This window comes from Homo sapiens, chromosome 2 (genome assembly GCF_000001405.40).
Source record: "Homo sapiens chromosome 2, GRCh38.p14 Primary Assembly".
NCBI classification, from domain to species: domain Eukaryota; kingdom Metazoa; phylum Chordata; class Mammalia; order Primates; family Hominidae; genus Homo; species Homo sapiens.
The window spans coordinates 182,726,204-182,738,575 of NC_000002.12; the positions used below are offsets into that span (position 1 = coordinate 182,726,204).

At 33.1% G+C, this 12,372-nt stretch overlaps 1 protein-coding gene across 5 annotated transcripts in view; it reads left to right on the top strand.

Annotated features, from left to right (window-relative positions):
* Window positions 1-12,372, top strand: part of DNAJC10 (DnaJ heat shock protein family (Hsp40) member C10) — a 78,208-nt gene that overhangs the window by 9,947 nt on the left and 55,889 nt on the right. For 3 of the 5 annotated variants that reach the window (NR_073366.2, NR_073365.2, NM_018981.4), the window contains exons 6-11: window positions 2,373-2,455; window positions 2,660-2,791; window positions 3,645-3,738; window positions 4,827-4,904; window positions 6,296-6,339; window positions 10,046-10,183. Coding sequence is in view for 2 of the 5 variants with exons in the window: in NM_018981.4 (NP_061854.1) it covers window positions 2,373-2,455; window positions 2,660-2,791; window positions 3,645-3,738; window positions 4,827-4,904; window positions 6,296-6,339; window positions 10,046-10,183 (569 nt within the window). In the remaining 3 variants the exon portion in view is untranslated. The remainder of the gene's footprint in view (window positions 1-2,372; window positions 2,456-2,659; window positions 2,792-3,644; window positions 3,739-4,826; window positions 4,905-6,295; window positions 6,340-10,045; window positions 10,184-12,372) is intronic. The other 2 variants (NM_001271581.3, NR_073367.2) reach the window with 2 other exon arrangements.

A 12,372-nucleotide genomic window follows, 5' to 3' on the forward strand; every position in this document is an offset into this window, starting at 1 on the left:
GAAATAGCAAGAGAACTGGAATTAGAAGTGGAGCCTGATTATGTGACTGAATTGCTGCAATCTCATTATAATGATCTCATTATAATATAATTATCTCATTATAATAATCTCACCATGGGGCGGTGAGGAGTTGTTCCTTATGGATGAGCAGAGAAAGTGATTTCCTGAGATGGAACCTACTCCTGGTGAAGATCCTGTAAACAATGTTGATATGACAACAAAGGATTTAGAATATTACATAAACTTGGTTGATAAAACAGCAGCAGGGTTTGAGGCCAGTTTTGACTCCAATTTTGAAAGAAGTTCTACTGTGGGTCAGATGCCATCAAACAGCATTTCACGCTTCAGAGAAAATCTTTCAGGAAAGGAGACATCAATCAGTGTGGCAAACTTCATTGTCATCTCATTTTAAGAAATTGCCACAGCCACCCCAACCTTACACAACCACCACCCTGATCAGTCAGCACCCATCAACATCACGACATGCATGACTTGCTGAAAGGCTGAAATGACTGTTAGCATTTTTTACCAATAAAGTTATTTTTTGTTCCTTGGTTGGTTTGTCACCCCACCTGGAGAGTGCAGCAGCAGGATCATAGCTCATCACAGCCTTGAACTCCTGGGCTCAAGCAATCCTGCTGCCTCAGTCTCCCGACTAGCTGAGACTGCGGGCATGTGCCACCATGTCCAGCTATTTTTATAGAGACAGGGTCTTGCTGTGTTTCCCAGGCTGGTCTCAAACTCCTGGGCTCAAGTGATCCTCCTGTCTCAGCCTCCCAAAAGGCTAGATGACAAGCATGAGCCACTGCGCCCAGCCTATTTTCTAATTAAGGTATGTACATTGTTTTGTTTGTTTTTTTTTTTTAGACATAATGCTATTACATAATACACTGTATATAGTGTAAATATAACTTTTATATGCACTGGAAAACCAGAAAATTTGTGTGACTCCTTTATAGTGATACTTGCTATGTTGTGATTTGGAAACAAACCCACAATATCTGAGGTATGCCTGTTACCAGGGTAGGAGACATTTTTACTACAAGAAAGGTTTTGTGTCAAATACCATTCAAATTTGTTTTACAGCATATTTTTATTTAAGACTTATGAACAGTAATACCTTGTGTAATTATTGCTTTCTATTTTTATATAAAAATAACTACCTCATTACTTGTTTATAGCTGATAAGATAATCCCTTCTTTCATTAAAGTTTGCATTAATTCTGTTAATATTTTTACCTAAATTTGTACTGGTTTGTGGTCTAAACCAATATGGCAATTTTTTCGACCACCTCTATAGAATGGTCATTTGCCAGACTTTGAAAACATTGCCAAAGAACAGCCCATAGTCCTGAATTACACACTTTGCCTGTAATGTGTAGATTAACTGTTTTCCCACAGGTCTGTCTTATACTTGAAATGTAGGTGAACACTGAGTCCTGCACCTGTTTCTAATTAGCCTGAATTAGTTGCACGTATTTAGAATACCATGTGTGATTTAATGTCTTACTGTAATTTCTGAAATTTTTATTTTAAAATAATAAATTTTAACATGGAATTATATGGAAATCCTTTAACCAAAAGCAGATTAACCTCGCCTTTTTATCTTGAATGTGAAAGCACATTTTTACAATGTTAAATTTTTTAAGTGAGTAAAATTTGTAATTTGCATCAGGTCATTTTACAGATAAAATATAAAATGTACTATTGGCTAGATATTATATGTTGTTCAAATCTGTAATTTTAGCAAATATGTATTAATGTTTTGAATTGTTAAAAACCTCAACCTTTTCAAACAAAATGATTTTCCAAGGTAATGTCTTGTTTAGGGCTTAGATTAAATTTAATCCCCGCAATCCTTACTGTATTATGTAGGTCTCTTATTTTATTCTTTCAGAGTTTACAGTAGCTGTCAGAATTGACTAAACCTACTTAACCTGTGCTGCATGTAATAGAAGAGCTTAAATCTCAGTCACTCTTACTATTTGTCTTCTTTATTTCTCTCATGCACACAAACTCTTACGTGAGGTTTGGCTGCTATTTCTTGTGCCGTCACTTTTTACAACTTTATGGCCATATTTATCTTGCAGTTTGAGGCTGCTTCTTTTTCAAGTATGGGCGTAGGAGAGTTTTTTTAAAAAGCTATTGTTGGTTTGACATTTGAAATGTTTCTTGTGGAAAAAAAATTTTTAATTTTTTAAAAATGTCATTTATGTAGAAGATATAGAAAAACATCACACAGAAAATGAGAAAGACAATATGAAAATTGCATGACTTTTTAAAATTCTGATCTCCACAAAAAGTTTTTAACTAAAATATGCATGAACCTTTAATAAATAATTCTAAGTTGTTTGCATTTTATGTATTTTTAGATGCTGCTGTTAATTCTGGAGAACTGTGGTTTGTAAATTTTTACTCCCCAGGCTGTTCACACTGCCATGATTTAGCTCCCACAGTATGTATTTTTCACATCCTCATTACTAGTTTTATTTCTAATTGATCTGCAATTTATATGTTAGAATTTTTTTTTCTATGAATAGTAATCAAAAATAATTATCAAATACTTTAAATGTCTGGTTTAAAAATATATAGCTTGGAGTGTGTTCAAGGGAAGAAAAGTGGTCTTATCAGAGAAATATGTTTTCTTTTTCTGTCATAGTGGAGAGACTTTGCTAAAGAAGTGGATGGGTTACTTCGAATTGGAGCTGTTAACTGTGGTGATGATAGAATGCTTTGCCGAATGAAAGGAGTCAACAGCTATCCCAGCCTCTTCATTTTTCGGTCTGGAATGGTAAGGGATAAAGTTAGCATTTTTTAAATTTGTGAAACATTATGACAAGTTAAATAGTAGAGAAAATAACAGTATGTAGAATTTGCAGAACATTTTAAGTCTTGTTTTACAAGGTGCCATCTCACTAGTCTTCTGTAATAATAAACATTTTGGATTATGAATTTTTTTTTTTGAGATGGAGTCTCACTCTGTTGCCCAGGCTGGAGTGCAAGGGTGCAGTCTCGGCTCACTGCAACCTCTGCCTCCTGGGCTCAAGCAGTTCTCCTGCCTCAGCCTCCCGAGTAGCTGGGACTACAGGCACCCGCTCCCATGTCTGGCTAATTTTTGTATTTTTAGTAGAGACGGGGTTTCGCCATGTTGGCCAGGCTGGTCTTGAACTCCTGACCTTAGGTGATCTGCCCACCTCAGCCTCCCACAGTGCTGGGATTACAGGCGTGAGCCACAGTGCCTGGCAAAAAAAACACCATTGACTTTGCTATATTTTAAAATTAAATGTTTGCCAATTTCAGTTTCTGTCTTAAGGAACATAATTTATACAATATGTATATTGTATTTGGTAGTTTACAAAGTATTTTACAAGTGTTGTCTCATTGAATGTAAAGCTCTGATATCTTTTTTCTTAGTTTCCAGTGAGGAACCTGAACGATTATAAATGGTATTATTAAAATGTGTTCCATAGAATCTGTACTGTCAAGATTATCAGGATATCATTTGGAAATACATTCTGCTATTGAGAAATAGAGCTTTGCTGCATTATTCAAGATAATGTAAAAATCAAACTCTTTGGTATTATTTTTATTGAGTTTTAAAAAGAAAAAGTAAAAGATGTTTCTCTTCTTACAAAAACCAATAGGCCCCAGTGAAATATCATGGAGACAGATCAAAGGAGAGTTTAGTGAGTTTTGCAATGCAGCATGTTAGAAGTACAGTGACAGAACTTTGGACAGGTAATTTTATTTTCTTAATTTGCTTGATTTTCAGGGTATTTTGAAATCAGTATTTTGTTTTTAATGGCAATATTAACATTTTGGTCATGGTATTGAAATTTTAAAGTGTCTTTTCCATGTTTCTTAGAAGGGAATTGTGTCATTTACTCTGAACTCTGCTGAATTTAACAAACTAGTTAAATTTTTACAGAAACTTGAACTATCGAGATATGGGAAATGGATATGAGATAGGGCTACGGTAAAAAAGGCATCTCTCAAAGTGCAAAAAATGTTTTGTAATACAAGTGTTTTATTGCTTTTTTAAATATGCTTATCAATCAGTAAATTCAAACCTATTCTGTTTAATTTTAAAGTTTAAAAATGCTTCTAATCTTAGGCTTTTAACTCATTAACTGCCTTTAGGCAGATTAAGCTAATAATAGTATTTGTGGCTCAAGATGTTCATTTTATTCATTGAGTAAAGTTACGTGTCAGAAACTATTAAATAGTGGGGCTGCAGTAATAAAATATATAGTCCCTGCCATCAGTGACTTCATTAGTGAGGAAAACATTAGTAAACAATTAAAATGCAATATAGGTACTATTATTATAGAGCTTAAGGGAGCATAAGATGTGTAAAACAACCCAGTTGGGGAAAAGAGAAAGAGTTAGAAAATACTTCTTGAAAGAAGTCATATCCAATCTGTCATGAAAATGAATAGGAAGCCTTAGGAGATCACTGTGTATTTGGGGAACTGGCAATACTTCATGAATCTGACAAAAAGATCAATAATTGGGTCAAGTGGTGTGGGGAAATATAATATAGCTGGCTAAATAGGTAGGCAAAGCTCAAGTCACAGGGGCCTAACTTGCCAATTTGAGTTTTTTTCTTAATGAAATAATGAATTTAGGTTTTATATGATGAAAAAATTGGAGAGCCATTGAAGGAATTTGTCATACTCAAGAGTATCTTTGGAAAGATAACTGGTAAAACTCAGAGTGGATTAGAAGAGGGTGAGATTAGAAAGGAAAAATTACTTAGAAGACTGTTTCCATTAGTAAAGGAGTAATAGGTGATCAGAATTTGCTTTTTTTCTTTTATTTTTAAGGAAATTTTGTCAACTCCATACAAACTGCTTTTGCTGCTGGTATTGGCTGGCTGATCACTTTTTGTTCAAAAGGAGGAGGTAATACTATTTTTTAATTTTGTTGGAATGAGAACATGACATTTAAATTTTTGGTGACAGTTTTAAGTATGCTACTGTAATTGATTATTAAGTACTAGAAACTACAATTTATGCCCAGGATTACAATTTTTTTACTTAATGAATATTCGCCTTTTTCATTATTTTACACATGAGGTTATTATTCATTTTTTAATGTATCCTCTATGTTTTTATGTTCAGTGGACCAGTTTTTCAGCTTAGACTCATGATAAATTGTACCTTCAGATAGCCACAGATGTTATTTGACAATTTGCAAAAATAACTAGTTGTTTACAGCTCTAACCCCTCCCAAAATAATAATTTTTTGGAAATATGGACTTTGCTTCATGCTTATATATATCTCTCAAACATACATAGATTTGCCTCATACAATTATATACTTGAAGATGACAGCTTCTTCTAGGAACCTTTCCTTGAATAAATTAAGTTGAAAATTCAGTACTCTGCATAGCAAGCCGTAAACTGTAAACTGTGTTCAAGCAATGTGGTTGGTTAAAAATTGTTCTAAGACAACAAAATATTATAACTCAATGTATTTGCATGTATTTAATCCCAACATGAGTCTTCTCCCCACATTTCATCTCTCAGCCTTCATGCTGCTATATTGAAAAGGTACTGCCTTGTAACTAAAATCAACCCATTACCCCATCCTGTAAGGCCTATGCTAGAAAGACACTGCCTTGCAGCAAAACGTCAGCCTTAAACTTAACTAATCACCAAGGGATTTTGTCTCATTTTGGCCTATTGCCCAAATTTCTGTTCATCCACACATGAACAAAAGTTCTTACATTCTCTGAGATTCTTTTACTTCTCACCTCAAGTAAATTGCTTCTCCCTGTCTTTGTAGGCTCTGTGATGCTATAGCTCTCTTTCTTCTAAATCTTCTCTCATTGTATTCTAGTGTTCATATTTGCAGAACTTTCATAAAAATAGTGAAGGCACTATTTAAAGATTTTATTGTATTTTGAGGATCCTTTATATACTTCTATCAAATATCTATTACATTTTATTTCCCCCCAATTTTGAGATCTCTTGGATAAAATGGATTGTTGATAGGAGGAGAGATTGAGAGTATTAACCTAAAGAGAGAAAATTACTTTTTCTCTGTAGCTAGACATCCTAGAAATTAAAGGGAGAGAATGAAAGAAAGAGGGAGCGAGGGAGTGTGTGTGTGTTTTTGTGTGTGTGTTTGTATGTGTGTGTGTGTAGAAGGATTTCCATATCTATCAATAGAGTCCAGCTCAATTAATTGCCTTCGAATGAACATGGTAATTTGGGGGAAAGGCAAATGCAAGTATTTTCATCAGGCTTAATAAAGGTAAAACTGCCTCATAAGGTTTTTTTGTCCCCAGATTGTTTGACTTCACAGACACGACTCAGGCTTAGTGGCATGTTGGTAAGCATCAATCATTTTGTAAAACTATATCACCATGTAAAGAAACACATTTAGAAATTGATTTGAAACATTTTCTTCCCTTATTTCTTGAACATTTAACTCACCTATTTGTAATCTTATTTTCTGATGACTGTATTCATAGCTATGTGTTTTTTCCTGAATAATTAGTTACGTTCAATAAATTTTAACGTGGTATCAATTCTAAGTGTCATTTACTTTGTAAGTATTCTGTAATTTATAAGTTCCTCTTCAACTGAAGTTACATGTTAGTGTTTTTGTCATTTCCCAACTTTATCTTTTGTTGTTTTCTTTTTTAGTCATTTTTAAATGTATATAGCTCTCATGTTATGGCTGGGAAGTAGCCTGAGTGATGTTGATTTTTTAACACCATTGAAATACCCTTTGTGGCTTTGTGGCTTGACAAAGCCACACAAATTGTCAGTTTTGAAAATTTTGGAAATTCTTTGTGAGCTTGAATATAATAATGTTATGTTAGGTGTAATATATGTTAGGTGTAGTATTACATTTATTAGATCAGATTTATTAATCATGTTATTTGTTTTTGGACTACATGATCTATAATTTCTAAGAGGGATGTATTAAAATCTCTACCATCCATCATTGATTTATCTATTTCTTATATTTCTGTCAGTTCTTCCTTTACATATTTTGACATTATATTGTTGGCAGCAGTATGATCATTATATCCTTTGGCGGCTATTTATTTCTCTTTGTGCATTATGGATTTGTTTACACAAATTCTGTTTTATTTGATATTAAAATCACTAACTTAGTATGCTTTTGTTTCATTCCCTTTCTTATTTCACCCTATGCCTAGGCCTTTAGTTTTTCAGCACTACACATTAAAATCACCTGAGGAGCTTTTAAAAATAATAAAAAAACAAAACCATGTCCCCCAGACCAATTAAATCAAAATATTCGAGGGTGAGGACTGAGCATTAGTATCTTTATTTTTTTTTTAATATTTGGTGATCAGAGTGATTGGCCTATATTTTTCCTTTCCAGTAAAGTCTGTGCACTTTTAGCATCAAAGTTAGGCTGGCCTTTAAATGTGTTGGAAAGTATTATCTCTTTTTCTCTTCTTTGGAAACAGTTTCTGTACAACTGTTGTTATTTCTTTCTCAATTTTTTTTTTTTTTTGGTAGAATTTATCAGAAAACCATCTGGGCCTGAAGTTGTCTTTGAATCCATATTTATAGACTTTTCTCCAATCTCTCTCAGATAGATAGATAGATAGATAGATAGATAGATAGATAGATAGATAGATTTTCTACTTCCTCTATTTGGTAAATTCTGTTTTTCTAAGACTTCGTTCTTTGAAGCAAATGTGTAAATGTATTGCTATAAAATTGTACATAATATCCTATTTTTTTATATCTGTAGTATCTATAGTGATGTTCTTTCTTACTTTCTGATCATATTTTGTGTGTGTGTCTCATGTCTGTTTTTATTCTTATTCTGTCCAAGGAGAGGTTTCTTAACCTTTATAAGTCTTTTCAAAGTCTCAAGTTTCAGCTTTATTGATTTTTTTTTTTTTACTGCCAGTTTCTTGATTTCATTGACTTAAGCACTATATTTCCTTCCCTCTACTTTTTTATGATTTAATTTGCTGTTCTTGAATGATTAGTTCATTGATCTTAGGCTTTCCTTTCTAATATATGAATTTAGATTATAAATTAGTGACTACAGCTTTAGATACATCTTCTATTTTGATATATATATATAGTATTTTGATTATCAGTTTAAAATATTTTTTAATCTTGATTTTTATTTCTCTTTGAATCACAGATTCTATATTTTTTGTTCCTAATCATAAAGGTTATTTTTAAAAGTAATTTTGTTATTTTTGGCTAGCTTGATTCTACTGTGGATAATGAACATGGAATCAGTTTTTTTAAGTTGTTAAGCCTTGTTTCATGGCCCAACATATGGTAAATTTTTATAAATGTTTCATATGCATTTGAAAATGAATCCTGTAATTCACAGGTACACATTTCTATAAAATCAGTTGGGTCCAATTTGTTAGCTATGTTAATCAGATCCTCTAGATCTTAATAATTTTATTGTCTGCCTATTCTATCAATAACTGAGAGAGTGTCTTAATATCCTCCACTACTTTGTGGATATTTCTATTTCCTTTGTTTCTGTCAATTTTTATTATCTATTTTGATGCTTTGTTATTAGATGGATATTAATTTAGAATTGTATGTTTTCTTGGTGATTTGAATCTCTAACCTGATGAAATAACCCTCTTTATCTCCTTTCGTGCCTTTTGCCTCCAAGTCTACCTTGACTGATAACTAATATAGCTACACCAGCTTTCTTTTGTTTAATGTTGGCATTTTTCCATTTTTTACTGTCACCCTTACTGTATCCTTATATTTATTGCCTGCAATCAGCATGTAATTAGGTTTTGTATTTATCTAGTTGCTATTTTTTATCTTAGTCCATTTACATTTAATGTTATTCTTGATATATTTGGCCCTATGCTTACCATCTTGTTAGTTTTATATTTGTCCTACCTGTTTTATAGTCCTTTTTTCTTTCCTTTTTGCTTCTTTTGGATTAAGCAAGTGATTTTTAAAATTTCATTTCCCATCTCTACTAGCTCTTTGGTTACCTGTCCTTTTATTGTTCATTTAATGGGTACCCTAGAAATTTTGTACATGTATCCTGACTTACTCATTTGCTACCTAACGCAAGAGTACTAAACAGAAATTATTTTACTACCTCTGAAACTTTGCTGTTATGTATTCTAATCAAATATGTTTTTTTCTAAGTTCTGTCTTAAATGCAGTAAAGTGAATACATCTTAAATGTACAACTTAATTTTTACATATATATGCTCCCATGTAACACCACCTAGATCAAGATCTATTCTTTCTTAGCTTTTAATTGTTTGTGATTTTCTGAAGTTTCATTATGATATACATAGGTCTTGAGTTTCTTATTTATTCTGATTGAGATTAACTGGACTTCTTGATCACTGTAGGTTAATATCTTTCATCAGTTGTGGAAACCTGTCAGCTGGTATTTCACTTTTTGTTTCTATCTCATTCTCCCTTATCTTTCCGAGATCCCAGTTGAATGTATGTTAGAACTCTATTTGTTTACTAACTTGCCCAGTGCAGAAATTTTTTTCAGTAACTTAAGGTTATGAGAAATGTACTTTTCGTACAGGATTTTTGGAGCTCACTAAAGGATTAGCTTAGCCACTGTAGATGAAAACTGGGAAGATACTAATTTAAATGCACATTGTAGACACATACAGAGAATGTCTCATAAACTGTATAATTACTAAAAGGATAGCCACAATGAAAAATCTTAAACAGTAGTTTGGTTTATTTTCTTTAACCTGAAAGACTATTGGACAGCTCACTTTCTATAAAAATTGTAAATGTCGTTTTTTGTGGATTCGTAGAAAGAATTATAAAAAGTAGATTTCTACTATTAGGGAAAAACCATTTCTCAAGTTACTAAGTACAATTTTTTGCACTTAATATTTCTAAATTTATTAAGTAATTTATAATATTAGAAATCTACTTTTTAACTTTGCTGTAGAACTAAGGCATGAAGTTTTAATTTTTTGGTAGAAAAATTGTGTTTTTAGCTAAGTAAAGCTCTAAATCCCTTTAACTTTTTGCCTCCCATTTACAACATGGTTTGTTGTTTCTTTCCATTTTAGGATGGTCTTGTTAATGTAGGATGGATGGACTGTGCCACCCAGGATAACCTTTGTAAAAGCTTAGATATTACAACAAGTACTACTGCTTATTTTCCTCCTGGAGCCACTTTAAATAACAAAGAGAAAAACAGTATTTTGGTATGAATCACTTTAAACTAATTTATTTACATATAATGTGCAAACACCCTCAAAAATAATACATTATTTTTGTAAGCAGTGAGCAAAGAAATGAACAATTTATATTGTCTGATTGTGGAACCCTTATTTAGAACACATACTTAATTTCTGAGATTCTTTTTAATACATGCTTCAAATTATAAAATTTAAGGATTATTTTTAAACTGACGATTACATTTCATTTAAAGTCATTACATCTTTACATTTAAAATTACCTTACATTTAAAACCATTATATTTTTAAACCCCAAAAGTATGGAGTACATTCCTGGGTTATACGAAAGAGCATTTATAGCATGAGTTTTCATTGTTTTCTATTTAATTGTTTATTTTGTTTTTTTTGAGATGGAATCTCACTCTTGTCGCCCAGGCTGTAGTGCAGTGGCGTGATCTCGGCTCGGTGCAACCTCTGCCTCCTGGGTTCAAGTGATTCTTCTGCCTCAGCCTCCTGAGTACCTGGGATTACAGGCGCCTGCCATCATGCCTGGCTAATTTTTGTACTTTTAGTAGAGACGGGGTTTCGCCATGTTGGCCAGGCTGGTCTTGAACTCCTGACCTCAGATGATCCGCCCATCTCGGCCTCCCAGAGAGCTGGGATTACAGGCGTGAGTCACCGCACCTAACCTAATTGTTTATTTTCTAATGTTAAAAATATAGATCAGTGGTAGTTTTGGCTGGGGCCTAAGTATTTTTCTAAAGCACCCCGTGGGATTCTGGTGTAAACTCAGTTTTGACATCTTGTAATGTGGTATACCTCCTTAAGTTTGAGTGAGGAAACTGAAGCTCAATCTAGTTGTCAAGGAGCTAAGATAAATAGTGGGATATTGGATGGGTCACTACGGAATCCCAAAAGAAAGTAAGGACTGTGATAAGACAAATCTCCCTTAGTTTTCCCTCTGTACTTTAATTCTGCTTTTTTAGATGTTGATAAAGATAACATATACTCATTTCAGAAATTCATATATGGCACAGAGCTGTAAAAGAAGATGCAAAATTCCCTAAAACCAAATCACTAATAGACAGCCACCATCAAATCTTGGTAAATACCCATCCAGATCTCTACTGAAATATATATGCAATTACGACTTTGTGCCAGCAATTCTCTAGTTTATACCTGTGACTCAAACCTCTGTTCTCCACTCCAGATGTATTATACACATGCACCTATACGTATATGTGTGGATGTGTGTGTGTGCTTGTGTATGTATATGTGTGTGTGTACATACTTACATATCACTGCTCATTCAATATCTTCCTTAGGATATTAGTCAGTGTCTCAAATTTAAATGCCTATAACCATATTCCCAATATCCCTCCATAAATCTGCTTCATCCAGTTTTTTCCCATATTATTTGATGAAAACTCTGTCCTTTATTATTCAAGCCAAATGCCCTGGAGTTATTCTTGATTTCTCTTTTTCTCATACCTTATAACCAATTCATCAAGAAAATCTATGGCTTTATCTTTAAAATGTGTTTATACACATCAAATGGATGGATGGATACAGATACGTAATTTTTCATAAATGGGATTGCATAGTAGATTCTATTTTGTAATCTAGTTTTTTCACTCAGTGTATCAGGAAGATGCTTTCTTATTTAAAAAATGTACATTTTATATGCATACTTTATCATTTTATAAATGAATATGTATACATTATCCTTGAAGTAATTAATGATCCCTGGATGGTAAGTCACTGACTAGATGTGACATACTTAGTTTAATCAGTTCTTTCTTGGTGTGTGTTTCTACTTTCTCAAGATGATAAGCAGTGTTGTAATGAGCAATCTTGTATCTTTATCCTTGTGCACTTTTTCAGTTATCTGTTTAGAATGGGAGCATTGTGGCCATTTTAAACTCAATTGGTATTGCCAGATTGCCCTCCGGAAAAGTTGTACTAGTTTATTCTGTGCCATCCGTCAACAAGGATTGCCTACACCCTGTCCAACAATAGAGCCTCTTGCCTTGAGTATTATAATCTCTGGGCTTCATGATAGAAAATTACAAGGTCAAAGGCTGTCTGAGACAGGAAACAGAAATGAGTGACTCTGGAAATGTAATAACAGGGAGTGGTGAATTAAACATTACTTGTCCCTCCCCAAAAGCAGTCAGGTTTTTTTTGGTTTTTTTTTTTGAGACGGAGTCTTGTTC